Below are 21,863 nucleotides of genomic sequence, written 5' to 3' on the forward strand. Positions count from 1 at the left end.
TCTACTATGCAGCCAAGGTGGAGAGTCACTGTCCTGAAGTCATCAGAGGTTGCCACCTACTCCTCCCACAAAGGTGGCTCCTCTTGTCACCTTGCACCACTTGCAAGCAATTAGGGATGTACATTTACATGATTTTAAAAGTCTTATGATGTCCGATTAAAACTAACAAAACTTGAATTTCTTGTATCAGTTATCATTCACTCTTCTCAACAACCGTGTGAAAGTAAGTTTATTGTTCCCATATGACACACGAGGAAACAAACTCTGAGAGATTAATTAAGCGACAGCCCTAGATCACAGAACTTGGAAGTGGCAGAAAATTGATTTTAATACAATTGTTTCAACCCCACAGTCTGTATCATTATAATCTCCCAGTAATTTCAAAAGGGCCAACCACTGTGAGTGTGGGCATGTAATTTGGTTGCATCTTCAATGTGGCACCCATCTTGTGGAATGGGACGAGGGGATAACAACTCGCTGAAGAGAATAGCAGGCACTACCTCTGTCGGTTACTATTTACCTTTCTTTCTCTATATTGTATGCATGTGGGTGTGTGAGTGTACATAAGTGTATGTCCACCTAAGGAAAGTGGACCTCAAGGGTATATCTGAATTGAGAAACATATGGCCCAACTACAAGAAGGTACCTGGGTAGGGTTTTCAGAGATGTAGTAATTCTTTCCAAGATGTGATAAGACTGGTAAAAGGTCATGAAATATCTTCATTATGATAAAAAAAAAAAAAAAAAAAAAACATTGAGGAAACTACCAATTCATTCATTTATGGATTCATCTAATGCCCATATATAGATTACAAAGCTTAATCAGTAGTGAGTGACAAGACTGAAGAATATCAGGCAAAAATCTCCCATACTTAAATATTCAGGTTCTTATAATAGACAAGACACAATTTCCACATAATATCATCTTGTCTGCCAATGCATGGGGCACATTAACTAGCCTTGACACAATAGTAGAACAAATCAGAATTGGTAAAATGTATTATTAATGATGGTAGAAATTGGGAAGTGAGTTTCATGTCACTTTTTTCTCTTATTTTAAACTGGTGCACTCAAATGTGTAGGTTTGTGCATGTGCGTGAGTGTGCACATATGCACGCATGCACACATGCATACACACAATCACACACAAGGCTTGAGTGAAGACTCCATTTCAGTTCTGCCATTGTTCACAGGCCTAACAACTTACTTTTCCTTAAAACAAGGAAAGGAGGGTTGTCATGTTATTATTCTGTTTCCATTATTATGCCATAAGGAAACTGGAAGAATTCTTTATTTTTAAAATATTTTTAAATTTTACTTTAAGTTCTGGGATACATGTGCAGAACATGCAGGTTTGTTACATAGGTATACATGTGCCATGGTGGTTTGCTGCACCTATCAACCCATCATCTAGGTTTTAAGCCCCTCATGCATTAGGTATTTGTCCTAATTCTCTCCCTCCCCTTGCCCCCCACTCACCGATAGGCCCTGGTGTGTGATGTTCCCCTCCCTGTGTCCATGTGTTCTCATTATTCAACTCCTACTATGAGTGAGAACATGCGGTGTTTGGTTTTCTGTTCCTGTGTTAGTTTGCTGAGAATGAGGCTTCCAGCTTCATCCATGTCCCTGTAAAGGACATGAGCTCATTCTTTTTTATGGCTGCATAGTATTCCATGGTGTATATTTACCACATTTTCTTTATCCAGTCTATCATTGATGGGCATTTGGGTTGGTTTCCAGTCTTTACTATTGTAAATACTGCTGCAGTAAACATATGTGTGCATGTGTCTTTATAACAGAATGATTTATAATCCTTTGGGTATATAACCAGTAACGGGATTGCTGGGTCAAATGGTATTTCTGGTTCTAGATCCTTGAGGAATCGCCACACTGTCTTCCACAATGGTTGAACTAATTTACAGTCCCCCAACAGCATAAAAGCATTCCTATTTCTCCACAGCCTCGCCAGCATCTATTAGGAAACTGGAAGAATTCTATACAATAGATTTAGGAGCTGCAAAGGAGTAAGGATTTGCTGAAGATTTTCTTAGGCAAGTATTAGAAGTTGGTTAGATGAGAAAAGTTTTCACAAGTGGGAGTTGTACCTCCTTGTCTCCTAATTGTAGTGAATCTGTCAACTTTCTTTTCAGTGTATCAAGACTTTACTCTTCAAAATCATTCTCAGTATGCTCTGAATTGCTATACTTTTAAGTTAACTACTTCTCAAAGTGCTGTTTAAAAACTGACATCTTCAACCACATTTCAGGCTTAGAATCTATCTAAATTTGCAAAGTTTCATTGGTTCTTATGAAAGTGCTACTTAAAAAAATACACTTGACAGCCAATCTCTTGAAAATGATTTGTGCAGAAATTGTGTTCAAATTACTTTATATCAAGACATTTAAGAGAAAATGTGGTTTTCTTTGTAATAGGCTAAAAATAATGATATCCTTTATCTTCAACTGAACATGTACATATGCTGTATAAGCTGTTGCATTTAAACAAATTGAAAAACAGTAGGATTCTGGCTATAGACCGTAAAGAAACAAAACTTGCCCAGAATATCATTTTAAGCATTAAAAAATACAATTAACTGCTATTTCCCACAAAGTTCAATCCTACATACAGAATCGGAATTGTCAACCAGGTCCAAAGCATCAAATTATAAAACCTGATGTCTCAGAAATAGACAAGAAAACTCAGAAAAAATAATTATTACAGTCCAATCGCACACAAAGAAAAGTGAGAATAAAAGGCAAGTTATATAGTTTATATTTCTACAAATTCCTTTTGAGTTACTGGGCAACATTCTATTTAAGTGGACCCTTATGACAGTAGTATAATGAAAATATCCCTAAGTCATAGCCCTAAAACAATTCCCACTGAACATTTCATTGAATGCTTAGTATGTGCAAAGTACTGTGAGGTGAGGTTCAGAAATGGAGAAAGAAGGTTTATTGCTTTGAATGCAGAATATTGATTTTTAAAACACTAAGCTAATCGTCACCAACTATAATAATTTTTTATGATTCCTCATTGCCAACAGCAATGATTTTCAAATGTGTTTTTTAAAAGCCAGAACTCTGCCTTCAAACAAAATCTTATATAGAAATCTAATACACAAGATAAATAAAATTGAGGCTACTTACACTATCTAGTTTTATCGGTTCCTCCTACTCCTCATCCATCACCACCAAGTACTTCTGAAGGCAGCCCCACAGAGGTTCACAGGGCAGAGGTTGGGAGACTGAGAAATCCTCAGGCTACTGGAGAATGTGGTCTGACCTCCACCGAGCTGAGGAGTCTGTACTCCTTAACATGGCCTATGAGACCCTCTATGGTTTGCTCCTGGCCTCATGACAAGTTACCACCAATGGAGTACTGACTGTTCCCTGCACACACTGCACCATGCTGTTTGTTCCCTGTGCTTTGTCCATGCTGTCCCTTGGCAGGTGATCTCTTTATGTCCATCTTCTCTTTGACAGATGCCAAGACACCCCACAACTCTGCACAGCTGGACACAGTCTTAACTCCACATACACATTCATTTTTGGCTCACCACGCTGGCTGGTAATTATTGTTCATATGGCTTTCACTTAAACTAACCTCAGAGTAACACAAGCACAGAAAATGTATTCATAGTTATATTCCAGCTTGGAACACAGATGTTGACCTAACAGTGGCTTCATAAATATTTGTTGAATGAATGAATAAAGATGGATGGGTGAGTGGATGACATGACAATATACTTTCATCAAACTAGGGAAAAATATTTATGTAAATATACATATATATTACATATATACTTCTAAAAATTGTGGTAAACTACACAAATATAAAATGTACCATCTTAAACATTTTTAACTATACAGTCAGTGGCATTAAGTACGTTCACAATGATGCACAACCATTACCACCATCCACCCCCCAAACTCTTCATTTTGCAAAACTGAAACTTTTTAACATACGTACATTTAAAAAATTCTTAAAAATGTAATTGAATGATCTAGGGTGTGGGGTACCCAGGTTCTTCACTTCCCCCTTGCCCCCACCTGCTATATATCTTGTGCCTTTCAGCCCCACTTAGGGCATCTTTAGCAAGAAATGTGGTAAATGTGGTTGAGACATGTGGTCAATGAAACTCCTGCCTACTAGCTTAGCTACTAGCTAGCAGTTTGGGCTGCTCAAAATGAATTTCCTGGATAATTTTCCTAAGCCCTCACTGACTCCTACTCGCATGTATTGCTAGGAGCCAGCTTTCACTCCTGGGACTGGTTTGGGCTTCCAGAAAGCATGCCTTGTAAAGAACAGGGCCTGTGTGTCAAACAGCCTGTATACAACACACATAGCTTATATATGACAACCATGTGATTTTTGTCATTTTAACATTTCTGAACTCAGGACTTATTTTATATATGATTGGTACATAAAAGAGTGGTAGCACCCCCACCCCCAGAAACTAATCATTTAATCTACAGTGCATATTATCATCAGTGACACTACAGAAATCAAAGAAAACTGGTATCTATTTCATATTTGCACAGAATCGTTTTTAATTTTAAATGTTTTTCATATAATGATCACATTGCCAATCTCACACTTGGAGAAGCAAAAAGCAAAGAAGGAAAAGGACTTGAAAAGGGTGACAAGTCACTCAGGTGAATGGGATGAGGCCAGGAGGTGACCAGGCCTGGATCTGACGTGAACTGCTCCCCACAAAGACCTCTCCACGGCGCTCAGCCTCAGACTCCCCTCATGTGTAAAATAACACAGGGGAAATGAAAATTAAACCAGTGTTAAGCTGTTCCTGACGTGCTTCCTGCACCAACATTCAACCAGCTCTCTGACCTTCTTACGAGGCTCAGGAGTCCTCCTGGGGGAAAGAGCTGCAACACCTGCTATTCTACTTTGCATGGTTGGTTCAGGCTCTAGAAAATAGCAAGAGCCCACCTCCTCCTCCTCCTGCAATCAGCTCTCCTGTTTCCTTTTTTTTTTTTTTTTTAGCTTTAGCTCTACTTCTATTTTCCAACTGGGATCATGGCTACTGCCTTCTACTACTCAGCAGCTAATTACACACACCCTCCGAGGAACGTAGGCCACTGAGTGAGGGGCCCAAACTCAGCTGGACACAATCCCTGCTTATCCCTCTCAGCTGTGGTCAGCTGGACACCTAGGCACACATGGGGAAGCCACTCAGTCCTTGCCTGAAAGAAGAAAACATACCGGCAGCCCAAATCTCAACCTTCTTCACTAACAGGCAAGCTTACCATGTGTTGAATTTAACCAGCCAGCACCAAACCATCAGACTTTCTGTTACTCAGAAATAAGTAAACAGTATGAAAAAGGTCCCTTATTAGGTGGGCTCAGGGTGCTGGTATCAGGACTATTTTTGCATATTCTATCATTAGGTCAGGCTGACATCCCAAACCTTAAAAAGTTAATAAGGGAAAGAACGCATAAACGCATATAAGCTTTATATGGAAGGTTAAGTGCACTGGCAGCCTACTAAAATAGAAAGTTAAATACAGCAATGAGATTTTGAAATTTCCCCTTGCAATAAAAAAGAAGGGGCCTTAATAGGAACACAAGCCAGGCTTGCTGGAAAAGCAGTCTTTGTTCCTTAAAACAACCTGCAATTGACTACTTATGGAGGACTTAAATTTCCGGAAATATTGTACCATCACTGACCCGTGTACACGGTTATGAGGCTCCGATAACAATAGCACTCTCAGGGAGAACCGACAGTTTAACGAAAGCAAATTAGGGTCTCAGTAATAAGATGACTGAGAACATAAACTACTATGCGTCTATCTTTTAAACACTTAAGTAATTTTAGTGTTGCTTCACTTGCCAGAGTAAATGAGTTATAAAAACCTCTGCTTTCTCATAAAAGCCTCCATATACCCAACGAATGGCGAATGATGTTACAATAAGCAGCACGTGTCCCATTTCCTCCCATAAGGAATAATCCTCTTTTTGTGATTCTCCTTTTCACTTCATCTGGAGGGCAGTGTCTTCCCTCCTAGAAGAGAGGCCCAGGCTGAGAGCATCATGGTTTTGGCAGGGAACTCAGAAAATCTTGGCATCAGGGCTTACTATAAGCTGAGTTAAACAGGAATGGAAGATCATTGGAAGCCCTGGAAAAATAGAAAATATTTCTAGGGTAGCACAGAAGTTTGGCCTTTTCGCTGGTGATTTATTTCCATTTGTTCACATGATGTGACTCATCATTTGGGTGACATGGAGCAGGCAGCATCGTTTCAAGTTCATCATTTTATTAAGCAATGAGTCAAATGAAGAAAGTGGTTTAAGGGAAATGGTCATTTTCTAATGATTTTTCTCTAGTATGATTTTATTTAATAGTTTTACATAAGCAAAGCTGATGTCTCCTCTGACCTCCCCCTTTTAAAATTTCCAGAAAATAAGACATTCTGATGGAGATCAGGCCACAAGACAGTAGTTCAGAAAAGGGTAATTTTTGTTTTAATTTTTCTCCTCACTCCCTATGTAATTGGTGGCCAGGATATTGAAATTCTCTGGAAAACACAGAATCCATTTACATGATGAATTCAATGATATATTATAATGTCTTGTTCAGAAGTGTTAGGAGAATTGATGAGTTAATGTTGGTAAATCACTCTGCAATTCCCAGGTCAAAGATGTGAAATGAACATTATCATTATTTGTTTCAGTGGAGGCTCACTGGCAAAATGTGGTCTAGTGGGCCTGATTAGGAAACAAAAGCTTATAACTTTGCAGCAAGAGGGGAAAACATTTTTTCAGTACTACCTTTTACCTAATTCTCTTCTACCCTAAGGGAGTAAAGGGCATGCCAATGATTATTGATAACATCATTCAACGCCATGTAATGAGTTGACACCACTGAAATAAACCAAAGGATGTAGGGATGTATGTACAGCTGGATGGATGAATGGACAGATGGATGGATGGACAGACAAATGGCCGGTGACCAAAATACATATACTCCTCCGTGTTATATATTAAGGCTGCTTTTTTAGAACACTGTCCTTCTTACCCAAATTATCACTGTAGAAGCAGATCATCATGCTTTAAGCCTTAGAATATGATGGATTTCAATTACTGCATCATATCTGTGAGATTTTTGGTTAGGAACTTTTAATATGAATTTGTCCAATTTTTTCAGTAATGCAAAACTTTTTGGTTTAATATCTGTTGTTATTCCTACCCTTGTCAGCCAAACTCATAAAATAAAGATTTTCTAATATATGGTATTTAGAAATTCTCTGCACTATAGAAGGTGTTTGAAGTTAATGAATAAATAAATGGATAAATAGATGGGTAAGTGGCATCATCCAGCCACAGCACTGCAATGTCCGAAGGAACTCTGAAACGTTCCTCATGCCTCTAGGAAAGACTGACCTTTGAATACGCCAGACAAGTATTTTTCTTAGCAAACATTTATGAGCAATGGGCTCAATCACTATATTAGTGTTTAAGGGCTTTTCCTGTATAGAAGCTCTTTCTTTGACTGAAGTCTCCAAAGCCAAATTTACAATTATTATGTATGCCTGAATAAAAGGTAATATAATATAAGGTAATTTTTCTCCAAAGAAAGCCCTCAGAAAAGCCTAAGTACCCTTAATTTTTGAGTTCTTACAAAGTTTATTGTATCTATTGGTCTCTTAAATAAAGTAGTCTTTATGGAAGACATATTACCTTAAAACTACCTTGATAAATGCTAGTTTGGCATGTTTATATAACAGCCACCTAACAGAACTGTTTTTCCTTTTGTTTTTTAATGGAAGAAAACAAATTTGACTAGTAATTATTCTTGGAAGTATGACTTTCCTAGTTGCAAGCACTGGATGTCACTATAAATAAAAAAGCATTTTAAAGATTACTTTTAAAAGCAACACAGTAAGTGGTTAAGTTGCAGAGTTCATCAAAATACACTCACAGGAAGAATGAAGAAAAACATCTCTTAATAATATGGTTTAGGATATTGTGACAATAATGGTCCCCAATGTAGGATGCCTCCCTATAGCCATGCTCACATTAACTGTGGGCTTGGCTATATGTCTTTTTTTGGCCAATGGGGTCTCAACAAATGTAACCAACGAATATAGGAATGGGCACTTGCGGCTTAGGATGAAATTTCTGGTAATAGCATCAAACACAGAGTAGATGAACGTCAAGATGATGTGCTTTGGAAAACGATACTACATGACCTGCCATGTAGTTCAAAACGTGAGGAAGATACTGATATAGTAGATAAAAGTTGTAAGTAAAATTATTTCATATAATATGAAAGTGGAAGAAAGCAGTATGTCTAAATTAATGTATATATTATTTAAAATGTCTTTGAGATTAAATAATTTAAGCACAAATCTGATGGTTTAATAGAAATCTCTAAATCCTTAAATGCTTATAGACAAACTGGCCAAAAAATTCATTGAAAGGATAAAGGATGGCATAAATATGAACTTCTATGGTATAATGCAGGCCCAGACTTCTTGAGCTGCAGGCCTGAAGACTCAACTGTCTATCTGAAATATCCCCTAAAAAAAGGTCTCAAACCTCCAACCTATTAGGATGGCTACTATCAAATACATTTTTTTAACCAGAAAATAACAACTGTTGGTGAGGACATAGAGAAACTGGAACCCTTGTGCACTGTTGGTAGAAATGCAAAGTGGTGCAGCCACTGTGGAAAACGATACAGCAGTTCATAAAAAATTTAAAAATAGAATTGCCACGTGATCCAGCAATTCCATTTCCAGGTATATACCCAAAAGAACTGAAAGGAGAACCTCAAATTTGTACACCCACATTCATAGCAGCATTATTCACAGTAACCAAAAGGTGGAAACAACCCAAGTGTTTATGGACAGATGAATGAATAAACAAAATGTGATATATACAAGAGTGGAATATTCATCAGCCTTAAAAAAAGAAATTCTGACACATGTTACAACATGGATGACCTTGAGGACATTATGCTAAACAAAAAGTCACAAAAGGACAAACCCTGTGTGATTCTACTCATAGGAGGTCCCTAGAGCAGTCAAATTCATAGAGGCAGAAAGTAGAATGGTGATTACCAGGAGGGAGGGGGAAGGGGGAAGGGGGAATTTATTGTCTAATGGGTACAGAGTTTTGCAAGACACAAACAGCTGAGACTGGATGCACAACGAGAATATACTGGATACTATCAGGCTGTATCTTGAACCCAGCTACCTCTCTCTGATGCCACTGCCACCATTCAAGCCCAAGCCACTGTCATTTTCTATCCTGTCAACTACAGGTTTCTTACCTGGCCTCCCTGTTTTTCTTGCCATCCTTTTAATGTCACAGTAAAAAGTGTCATGAAAATAGCAAAGCAGGGTAAGAAGACCGGCATACTATGTTAGATAGGATGGACAAGGAAGGCCTCTTGGAGGTGACATTTGTGCACTCATTCAGGTCATTTTTCCATTCAAAAGCATTCGATAGCTCATTCTGACTGTCCTATTTATGGTAATTCTGTAGCCATTCAGGACTGAAACTCTGACAGCCCCTGGACACCTTCTGATCCTTCTCTCTCTGTATCGCATCTAGTCTCTATTTTCCCCATTGCTAAGAGTAATCATGCTATCTGTCCTATCTACTACTCCTTCTCTTGGAATGGGCTGTCACTCCCCACTCCCGTCTATCCTACATATACATGCCAGATGAATCTTTCTAAACTGCAGTTTCAATCTTCTTTCTCGTTTCAAAATCTCTTGTTGCTGGTTCCTCTTCGCTTCCTGAATTAAGTCCAGAGTTTCCATCCCAGACTGTCTGACAGTCTACAATATGGCTTCCACTTACCTTCCCAACTGTTATCTCCCACTTTTCCCCATCACAGGCATACGGGTGGCCCCTTGTTCCAGAACGTACTCTTCACTTTCCAGAATCTGCGTCTCTGGTCTCAATGGCCCTCGCACGCCTCCCCGCAATCCCTGTTGCAAACTAAAATCCCATTCCCAAATCACCTTCTCTGTGGAAATTGGCCTGATCTTCCCAATCAGAAGTGATCACTTCTATCTTTAACCCTCTGAAGCGTGTTTTTACTTTTATATACAGTTTATCACCTTCTGTCTTATGCCATACTTATTTGTATACTTCTCCTAGTTCCTTTTCAGATCATAGGATTTTTGAAAATCAAATATGGCTTCTGTCTTCTGCATCACCTAGCAACTTGTTCCTCAAAGTGTCTTCCTGGGACCAGCAGCATCTCAGGCCCTATCTCAGACCGACAGGATCAGAACCTGCATTTTAACAATATTCCCAGGGGATTCCGACCCACTTGATCAAGCTCACAGCAGCCACTCATCTCATACTTGACTGGTTGAACTGACTAGGAAAACAAAGTAGGAGAAACCAAACATAACTTACATAACTCATTCAAAGATCATTGTGAGTGACTAATGCTTTACCTATATAAAACTAGGGCCAGGCACAGTGGCTTATACCTAGCACTGTGGGAGGCAGAGGTGGGAGAATCACTTGAGTCCAGGAGTTCAAGACCAACCAGAGGAGCACAGTGAAACCCCATCTCTACCAAAAATACAAAAATTAGCTGGGCATGGTGGCACACACCTGTAGTCCCAAGCTACTTGGGAGGCTAAGGTGGGAGGACTGCTTGAACCCCAGGAGGTTGAGGCTGCAATGAGCTGTGAGTGCACCACTGCACTCCAGCCTGGGTGACAGAGTGAGGCCCTGTCTCATAAATAAATAAATAAATAGAAATAAAAATACAGTAAAGGTATACAGAAAGCAGAAGGTTAATTTTACCAACCTTCTGAGGGAGGAAGACAAATGTCACCTTGGCCAACCAAATAGATCTGGGAAGATTTTGTCTTTTTATAAAGCTTGTCTATTTAAGGGTGGGAAGTCAGCAGAAAAACTGCTTGCCAATAGTACACTTCTCCCACTTTAATGAAATCGGTTGGCTGTGAAAATATGTGCATCAAAGTTTTAAAGAGTTTTCTGTCACATCCAGTAGACTTATAATACAGATTGCTACAGATGGAAGATTTATCCTCACTTGATGTAGCAACAGCACTACGTTCTTTGAACTGTAACAAAGCTTTTGATTTTTTTTTTCCCACGTGGTAGATGAATCTTAGTAAGAAAATACAGACTTGATATGACACATACTCAACTACTGTAAAGTGGGTGCTTAATTTAGTTAGGGAGAGGAAGGGGTGGAAGCTGGGGAAAGTCCTGCTTAGAGGGCACCTCACTAGCCACTAGAGGGCATTAACATGTGAATAAAATCATCCTGATTTCCAGGATTCAAACAGCAGACACCATGCATGGGAATTAATGGGGCTCTGCTTCACTCTTCCTTTCCCTTTATAAATGTCCAGAGAGCTAACAACTGCAAAGATGTGGAAGTATATCTAAACTCTTTTTATGTTTTAACACAATAGACATTTAAGGGAATAAACTTGAGCCATGCTAGCTCCAGGACTAGGATTGACATATGTTTCCTTCAGGGTGCCCGATTTCCATTCTTCAGAAGTCCACAACCTTCTGAATAACAGAGGTCTTTTCTCCCTCAGAATCAACCTAGCAACAAGTCCGAAACCTCCAAAAACTTCTCATACCTGTAATCCTAGCACTTTGGGAAGCCAAAGTGAGAGGATTGCTTGAGCCCAGGAATTCAAGACCAGCCATGTCTCCAAAACTTCCAAAAACTTCTCCAGCCTGCTTGCTAAAAATTCAAGTTGATAGTCCACCCATTGCAAAAGGATATTTCCTTCAGGAAGCAGGAGGAAGATAAGCGAGGCTGGGGAAGACTGAAGACAACAGTCCTCAGTTCTGAGGAGAATGAGCGGGAAGTGATTGATGGTCAGTCCCAGGCCACCGCCCTGCCTTAGTGGGTGTCTTTGCCACGAGGTGGCCTTCCAGGTAGCTTGGCTTCCTTCTGCACCTAAGCTTATAATGGCAAGACTAACCTTGCCTCTCCAGCCCCCATCTTTCTCCTCAAACGGTCCCTCTAATCTTTGTACATACTCATGGGTTCAATTACCAGGCAGGATGCCCTGAGGCAGCCAGGTGTTAGTTGGCAACAGAACACACAAAGGCCTCCCCGCCTCCATTCAGCGTCAGGGTGATAAAGATATCATTACCCTCAAAGCCAGCTCCTCAGAAGTTCTGCCACCACGGCAGATATGAAAGGCTTTACCACATAGTTTTCATACACAGTTCTTCTTCCTCAGAAAGCACCATTTGTTTGAGTATCCGTAAATAACTCCTACAGAAGACACAATTTGCTCTAATGTTTTGGAGCTATGGAATTTATTATGATCACAGAACCAGGAAATAGCTGAATGTGAAAACAGGAACATCTCAAATCACCCCTCAGCTCTAAGAAGAGTAACGCATTTCAAATTAAAAGCAAAGTCATTGCTGTGTTTACTGTTCTCTCTCAATGAGGGGCCTGCACTCCCAGGACAGTGTCAGCATACTTAGCTTTTCAAATACTAAATAAAAACAACAGCATCTCCAAGTTCTAAGCATTTATAAAAGGTATTCTCTTTTAAAGATAAAGACAAGTTTAGAAGGCAGGCCCCTTTTTTTGTCGCAATCGGTTAAAAAGTGAAGAGAAATAGAATGGGCTGAACAAAATATATAGCAGGCTCTGTGGTCTGCTTTTTCTAAAAGTTCTGCCCACAGATTTTCAGACACCAACAGCAACAAACAGTCATTCCCTCCCTCCTGCAAGTGAGGGTGACAGCCAATGCCAGGAGCTACAGCAACAGAAGAATGTACTTTAAAAGAGAGACAGGAGAATGGCTTAGACCCTCTACCTGCCATCACCATCACCTCCTAACCAGAAATGACAACAAGCAGCACTTTCTAGGAATTTGTTAGTGGCTGTGATCATGTGTCCTTCTTGCACTCACGTTTCTCTTTTGACCAAATATTATTTAGTAAGATGTGGTTGAGTGGCCCCTGGGAATCACCATTGAAACAGAAGGCTTTCTAAGTAAAATATCTGTTCAGTATCTGTTCTTGCAGTGCAAAGCACATTTCAAAAGTTCAGCCAACGGCTAGGAAAATGTTTGGGGCACGCAGAATCCCTTCTACGCCAACAGAACTAATCTCATGTATGCATTTTTCAGCTCCTGAGTTGAGAAGACATATTAAAAACCCAGCAACATGTTTATCTTCATTAAACAGCAAATGTCCTTTCAAACAATATACAACAGGGCAGAGATCACTGTTTGTGCTAATGGAAAGTGATCAAAAGCCCCAAGATTCTTTGGTTAGCTGACTCTGAAGCCTGCTCGTGCTTGAGTTTCTACACAAAGTACATCAAAAGAATATAGATATCACTGGAGATTCTAAATGTTTAAAGTCTCTAGGACTAGCAAGAAAATATGCTTGAAACTATAGGAAATGGGGAACAGAACATTACTGTTGACTTCCACCTTTTCCCTGTAACACAATACATTACAATCTATAAATAGCTTAGGCTGTCTGTTTAAATATGCACCTCCCCCGGAAAAGATAGAGGCTTCCGATCATCTTGCTATTTGCAAGGAATCTTACTCACAAATCAATCTAACAGGCCACGGTGATATTATGGGGATGTAAAAGGGACTGAAATGATCAAGAGCGTCACGTGTCTTCCAAGCCAAGTGGGGTCCTATGCCTTGCTGGTTTGAAGAAGTGGGAGAAACTTCATCAAGAGCAGCAACTCAGGTGTCTGTCCACCAGAGTAAGCAGGAGGTTCTGACCAGCAAGGGTAGCCTAGGGCATGGGAGGGAGGGAGACAGTGACTTTAAAGCTTTCCTGTTCTGTCACACTTCCTGCACCTCTGCCCAGAGGTGGCTGCTCCACAGACCCAAGCAGAAAGCAGACAAGAAAGGCAAGATGTCAGGAATTCTCTTCTCTCCCAGTAGCATCTTTCCTGTTCTAGCCTAAATGCAGGGGAAAAAGATTTGGGGCTGAGGCACCTCTGAATCCCAGGGAGCTCAGGAGCTCACTCTGATTCCTTGGAGCTGAAGAGTTGCTGTGTGCAAGCTGCACACAGCCGTAGCGTCTCTCATTAGACTCTCTTCTACCACTAGAGCCAGGCAGCTATGAAGAGTGACATGACCAGCCAGCCCCAGAAAGCAAAACGGGAATGCAATCAATACATGCCTCCTCTCGCCCATCAAACAGCTTTCTTCCTCCTTTCTCCCAAATCAAAACTGACTCCCTCTTGTTGGATCACAAAGAGCAAGAACGCAATGTGCAGTAGCCTTGTGGAGCTTAAAAAAAAGAAAAACAAAAAAAGACTGTCAGCTTGCAAGAATTTTACCAACCGGCAAGACATTACCCCTCATGTCCCAGAGCCATAGGGAGGCTGCGTCTGAGAGCGAGGCACACCAGCAGGAGAGAGACAGTTCTCATGGGTGGATGGTGAACCCTCTCTTATCAACAGCTAGACTCAGCAACCACACATTCCGTTTTACTTTCTCGCCCACATTCAAACCATTTTATCTCCACTAGAGGGCCAGGATGGAGATGAAATTTCAGCCTGGCAGTTTTGCTGCTGATTTAAGATTTGATCCTAAACCTTGGGGAGGGAGGGCTCGAAGGAAGGGAGGTGGGGTTAAGGCAACTCAGATACTCACGTGGGCATATCTGGGTCCCAGGCAATCCCTGGGTTCTGCCACAGGCTCTCTATCTCATGGGATGACACTGTTATTAAAATAATATCCACGGCACTTTGGGAGGCCAAGGTGGGCAGATCACGAGGTCAAGAGATCGAGACCAGCCTGGCCAACATGGTGAAACCCCATCTCTACTAAAAATACAAAAAATTAGCCAGGCGTGGTGGTGGGAGGCTGTAATCCCAGCTACTTGGGAGGCTGAGGCAGGTGAATCACTTGAACCCGGGAGGCAGAGGTTGCAGTGAGCCGAGATCACGCCACTGCACTCCAGCCTGGCGACAGAGCGAGGCTCTGTCTCAAAATAATAATAATAATAATAATTAATAATAATAATATCCATAAAGTACAACACAGGACACCTTCGGTAGCCACCTAGGCTCAAAAATTGGGTTATCTCTGACTCCATTCCTTTCATTGTTTCTAATACCCAGTTGCTCAGTTTGTTCAACTCTTTCTTTGTAGTGTCCTCCACATCGGTCCCTTTGTAACACGCCCACAGTAGTTCTCAAAACCTTATCTCCTTACGCCTGCAACTGCCTTCCCTCTGGGACCCCAGTCTCTTTTTTCTCCACCATCTCACGGGATATGGACACAGCTGTAAAGCTCATCTCACTAAAACATGGTTCTTCACATCCCCAACTTGTTGAAAAATCTCCAGTGACTGCCAACCCCCAGTTCAGGACCCCTCCCCACAGCACTGCCCATTTACACAGTGACCACTCCTCCCTCCCTACCACTACCACCCCCAAACCACAAACCAACAAGAAGCACCGTGTCCTGGGAATCTGTCAGTGGCTGGGACTCAGTCCTCCTCGCAGGCAGGTTTCTCTTCACCACATAATACACACGTAGCGAATGTGGTTGAGGGGTCCCCATTCTTTGGTCTGACACATGTGGTGTGACCCCTATCTCCCTGTCCAAGGCAGTCTCCCCCTTTCTCTCTATGAGCTGTCCATTCTCCGTGTTGAGTCCTACACGGAGCTTCCCACTTACTTTACATGTTAGATTGCTGTGTTTTCCTCAGCATATGCGTGGCCCCTGTCTGGAAGCCCCTCTTCGTTGATCTGGAGCTGAATTGTGGTCTGTTCACCAGGACCCCAGATGAAAGATGAAAGCATGAGAGAAGCGGATGCAGGAGGGGGATGGTATAGGGTGGTCCATACACCTGGGATGGAATCATGGAAGCATCCCAGACAGGTTAACTTTGCCTTAATAAAGCTTCTTAATTTTTAACAAGCCTAATGATCTCCATCTCATTCAGGAGGAACAAGGTCAGAAAGACAAGATGGGACCAGATGACTTGTGAACTGTGAGTTGAGCTCTGGACTGTTAGACAGTGATGTGTCTAAGACAAGGCCAATGTCTGGCAGGCCGGGGCTTTAGCGTAAGTTTAGCCACCTGCTAAATTGAGTTTAATTTGCCCGTGTCCTTATGATTGTCCCATCACCATAGCTAATTAATGTTAACTATGTTGTTATTTTTATTAATGCTCTTTTAATTTTAGTAAATATTTTTGAGCCAGATCTGACTGTTCCAAGCCTGGGCTTTGGGGGCTGCCAGGTATATTACTGCTACAACACCATCAGGAGCAAGTCACAATGCATTCTTAAGTTCATTCATTCTTTTACCCTACACGTTATCGAGCACCTACTGTGTGCTGTGTGAGAGGACTGGGACGTTGGGAGTTATACAAAAAGCTAAAAGCCATGCTTAGGACATAGCAGGTGACAAGTGTCCCTTCTAGGCCAAAGCTTTGAAGCATTGAATTGCTGGTGCAATTTTCCAATTTTTCTCTCTTCCAGTGATCATGAAAGAGGCCCCTAGATGGCTGGATAAAAAGATCAAAGCAGACTGCATCATGGAGTTATGCATGGAGGACAGTTGTCCTGGAGAGATACTGCATCCACAGCGGTCACTGTATGAATGAGAAATAAACTTTTATTTTGCTAAGCTACTGAAAGTTTAGGGTTGACCTTTCTGCAACAAAAGCTTATCCTATCCTGACTAATACAATAGCTTTTATTTTCTCTATTATTACCATTTGGTAATGAATCATGTCTAACAATGCCTTGTGCTAGGCTTTATATTTACTGCCCTCAGTATCTTTTAATTGCCTTAATGTCACTTTTACTCACTCCTTGCCACTTAATGAGACAAGAGCCTCTTGAAGACAGTGACCTTGGCTTGTACTTTCAGGGCTTACCTTTTCACCCTCCAACTCACATTTTCCTTCCTCTCATCATTTTCCCCAAAATTTAGTTGTGAGCCTCGCAAGCAGTAGCTGCTTAACTCATAACTGATGACTTGATATTTTCCCACTAGGAAATAATTCCCAATACGTAATAACAATTATTCATTTGCATTAACCAATACCACCATGCAGGCATGGATCATCAGGAATTAAGTGCAATGGCTACAAGAAGGCATTAGCTATTCATCTGTGAATTTATCTTAGCCATGGCCTTGATTCTGTGTCAACCATGGCTCATCATTTTTACTTATTTGTGTTGACCCTAATGTCTTTAGGTCTATTTAATGATTTTGGTCTGGGCTTCTAAAATTCTCATTCAGTCATTTGTTCATTCACACAAATACAGTAGTCAGTTTCTGAGAGGTAGCAGAGAAAAAAAGCTATGGAGTCAGGCTAGCTGTGAGACTGTGGGCCAGCCACTTGACCTCTTCATGTCCCCAGTTTCCTTTCCCACAAAACGAGTTTAAAATGTATCTTGTAAGGTTGTTGTGAGAATTACACAAGTTAATATATGCAAGATACATAAAAGTTATTTTAAATTTTAAAATAAAGCAGTACTGGGCATGTTGTAAGTGCTTAGAATGCTAATATTATCATATACTGAGCACCTACTACATGGCAGATATTAGAGGAACAAGAATGATTAACAGGTTCCCCAGTTCTTCAAGCATTTGCAATCTAGTAAGGGTAAAAGATATGTAAACAAATAAGTGAAGTATTACAGAGCCAGAGAGAGAGAGAACACAAGTACATACAAATACATATGCACAAAAGGATACAGGTATGTAGGTGCACACACATGCATACAAAGATACACACATGCACACTCACCTACATGAGAGCACACACATGCACACATGCCAACTACTGCCAACTGATGAGCTACATACAGAGCAAGAAGAGACCACGATTGCTGAACTAGCTCCTACAGACTTGCCAGACAAGACAGGGCACCAGGGATGTCCAGGTAATTAAAGAGTGTGAGCAGAGGCATCAAACAACATCTATGTGTTTATTCATTCAACAAATATTGATCAAATGCCTCCTATGTGCTTGGCACAGTTTTAAATACTGGGATACATGCAGTCCATGAGACCGACAAGGCTTTTGCTTCCACTGAGCTAATTCTAATAGAGGAGACTAACAATAAACCAGCAGTCGGATGCAGAAGCCCAAGCGCCACGAAGAAAACAACAGGTAAGAAGGCTTGAGTGAGCTGGGGGCGGGTAGGCCTGATGGGGTGCAGGGAGCAGAAATATGGCCAGAGCAGGAAGGAAACGCCACGCCCCACCCCAGCTTTCTATGGGGGAGGATTTCCCTTATGCCCTCTGACCTCTTGCTCCAACCTTTTCTTCCCCAAGGGTGTGGAATGAGTAACCCGGCTGGGGCTAAAGCCAACGTGGCCTATGCCCCCTCCTTGGATAGGGTGAATCTATATAATTTTGAGCAGGGTTAGCAGGGATTTGGGCCTCTTTCTCCTTCCCTCTTCACACAGACAGGTGCCTGTAGACTCAAAACTTTCCTGCAGGTGGCCTGCGACCAGGCTAGACTGGGGAACAGGCAGGTGTCAAGTTAGCTCATTGCCCTCAGTCACATAGTTGCATTCTGGCCCCCGTCTGCCTCAATACTCTTGTCTTATTTCTCAGTGGGCTCAGAACTTGGGACGGGAAGAGAACTCTTGTAAGATAAAAGTTTCCATAAGATAAAAACCTTCCCTCCCCTAAACAGACCTCAAAACCAAATTAGGAATCACTATCCTAATCTATCAAACCTAATCTATCTGTCATCTTAATGGAAAAATCCCTCAAATCTCTTACTTAATAGTCCAAAACGCTAGACTGAGAAGTCTGATCCCAAAGACAAATTCAATACAGTGAATATTGGGAGTGAGGTGGGAAAAAGGATGATTTTGGTGCCAGTATAAAACCCAGGGGTATATGCTATGGTCAGTAGCCAGAAAGAGGAAGATGAGGAAATATGAAGCCTTTAGATATTCTTACCTTGTGACTTTATATCTGCATTAAAAAAACCACATTAGGAAAATAATTTCTTGAGTTTATCTTTTCTTTGAAGAACTGAACAACATTTTCAATATATTTACACACTTGCCTCACAATTTCCTTGGGAGATGGAGTGAGAATATAACGTTGTCGTGAACAAATATTAATGTCATGGTTACTATCTGCAGAACTCAGTTGTGAGCATTAGAGAAATTTTTTTAAGAGGAAGAAGAAGATACATGTTTCGTATCCTTGAAGGGCTTAGCCTCGACCTAGAAAACACTCAGGCCCCCAAAGCAATATATATGAAAAAAGGAAATACAAGAGCAATGTCAAATGGATGGTAAAGATTTTTAAAAATGCTTCAGGAGTTCAGAGGGGAAAAAAAGTATCCGTTGGAACTAAGAGTTCTTACAATTCTTTCATCAAGGATTATATAGATGAGGAAACATTAGAGAAATGTGAAAGCCCCAACCACACATCAGTAGAGAAACTGCAATTAGAAACTGCCTCTCTGGTAAGAGCTCCCAGAAGATGAGAAATGGGTATTGCATTTCTCTGTGCAGTCCTACTGGGCCTGGCATTGCAGGCTCCACTGGTAGGTGTCTCCTCAATCTGCAGCATATTAAATGAGCACTCTGTTTCCCTGGATTTCACATTGCTCCATGTCACTACCCACACATTTCAGCCAGGAGCAGCTGACCACGATGCCCAGGAAGTACCCTCCCCACCAGGTCATTCTGACAGAGCCGCTGTGCCACACACAGGGAGGATGAAAAGCACAGACTCTCCACCTCCTTTCAATTGCTAAGACAGGCAGGTGCTGCCAACCCTGCTGACCCATTCAGAGGCCTGCAGAACACTCCTACAGGCATTGCCTTGTCTCTCATCAAGTTCCAAGATGGACCGAGACAGGAGGCAAGTGTTAATAGCAAGAGTAGATAGTAACCATTACGAAAACCACATTCTCCGCATATCACAGGCCCCAGGAGGGGAAAGGCAAGAGAGGATAAGGTGGGAAATAAAAGAGGGTATCAGGGCTGCCCTCATCCTGCCCAGGATACACTGGCTGTCACAGTCATTATATGTTTTCTGGCAGCACAGTCACGTTGCTATGGAACCAATGCATGTCATTGCCACCTGGCCTCTAGCAAATAAAATCACAGCGCTGGCAAGAGCATTTCCCTGGATTTCCCTTAAAGAGATACCATTGATGGTGAGTGCTGTTTGAGCTTAGAAACAACAGCAGCATTGTTCCCAAGACCCAGCCCCATTGCATACCATGAAACTGAGCCCAGGGACTCACGTTTTACAAGGTATATATGCATGTGGGGGCCAGCTTCTGAGCTTCTTTTTAGGGAGAAAAATACTCATGGCTTCTATCTGTGTTTAGTTTTTTCTCATTTGGTAAAATAAAAAAATTACGGCTTGTAATATTTTGGATAATAATTTGATGCCCTCTTGAATGTCAACATCAAAGTGCTCATGACCCCAGAAGGAAACCAAAGTAGCCACAAGTGGTCTACATGGGTTCAGGCAGTCCTTCTTTCATTCCTTCACCATTTCTTGCCTCAGACCCTTCTCTACCAGTTTATTCTTTACCCAAAGAATCCTATGATGTAAGCATGGAAATGGACATTTCTTCACTTTCTCAAGGCCCTTAATTGCCCCCTTCTTTTAGTCTAATTAATCTCTTGACTCTAAAGAGACCTTTACAGTCCCCAGAGAGCAACAGGTGTCAGTGACCCACATTGTACTGTGGTGTGCTCTGAGAATAAACTTTTTGGGCTTTTCTCAGATAAGACAGGAAAATGGAAACCTTCACAGTTCTAATGAATGCTAACTCGTGTAGACCCAGCTCTGTGGACAGGAGCGATCAATGTTAGGGTAACTCAGCAGATGATCCCTCACAAATCAGCAATCTATGTTCTACATTCCATTCAGTATGTTGGTAGACACCAATTACGTCTGTATGTACATAAGGAGATGATCAAGTTCCGCAATAATGACTCTAGTTAGGGAAGAAGACAAAGTGATTAAGCTGACAAGTTGGATAAAATAATAAACACAAGCTCTTAATACTACCCTTTGACCACTCCCTAGGTGAGATGAAATGTTTTGGAAATAAGTGCACTTAGTTCACCAACCTAAATGAACACAATTTGAAGCCAGATTTAACCTAGGATGTCTAAAAAAACAAACAAACAAACAAACAAACCACACACACAGTCAAGTTTACCTTCTGGGATTCTAACTGAGAATCATATTCTTAACTTCTCTCCATCTTATTGCACAACTGCACTCTTATGTAAAAACCAACATAACTTTAAAAAAAACGAATAAATGGGGCCGGGCGCGGTGGCTCACGCCTGTAATCCCAGCACTTTGGGAGGCCGAGGCGGATCACGAGGTCAGGAGATGGAGACCATCCTTGGTAACACAGTGAAACCCATCTCTACTAAAAATACAAAAAATTAGCCAGGCATGGTGGCAGGCACCTGTAGTCCCAGCTACTCAGGAGGCTGAGGCAGGAGAATGGCGTGAACCCGGGAGGCGGAGCTTGCAGTGAGCCGAGATCGTGCCACTGCACTCCAGCCTGGGCGACAGAGGGAGATCCGTCTCAAAGTAAATAAATAAACAAATAAAATAAAAGAATAAATGTTTCTCAAAAGTCTCTATGAAGGTCAGATTTGTACTTCAATATAGGAACCCTGTTAGCCATTCTTCTGCAGGTGCAGACAACCGCGAGTCGGGTGTGTGGGTCTGCAGCTGGACTGCACACACCTGCAGGTGTACCATGACTTCTAGCTGCAAAGCAGATGTACCACCAAGTCTCAGCACATGACAACGTGGCATTGCAGATGCAGTGGTTTGGAAAGGGCGCAGAAGAAAATAAGCTTTCTCAGATGACATCCATAACAGAAGTGTTCTGGGTGC

At 41.4% G+C, this 21,863-nt stretch overlaps 1 protein-coding gene across 3 annotated transcripts in view, besides 1 other annotated feature; it reads right to left on the reverse strand.

Moving 5' to 3' along the window:
* Positions 1-21,863, reverse strand: part of ATXN1 (ataxin 1) — a 462,349-nt gene that overhangs the window by 200,897 nt on the left and 239,589 nt on the right. The window lies entirely within an intron of this gene.
* Positions 8,676-8,725: an enhancer, noted in NCBI's record as "active region_24111". NCBI's record gives its function as "activates an Ori minimal core promoter by ATAC-STARR-seq in GM12878 lymphoblastoid cells {active_cell/tissue: GM12878}" and the evidence as "EXISTENCE:reporter gene assay evidence [ECO:0000049][PMID:35858748]".

The sequence above is a fragment of the Homo sapiens genome, chromosome 6 (genome assembly GCF_000001405.40).
Source record: "Homo sapiens chromosome 6, GRCh38.p14 Primary Assembly".
In the NCBI taxonomy this organism is placed as follows: domain Eukaryota; kingdom Metazoa; phylum Chordata; class Mammalia; order Primates; family Hominidae; genus Homo; species Homo sapiens.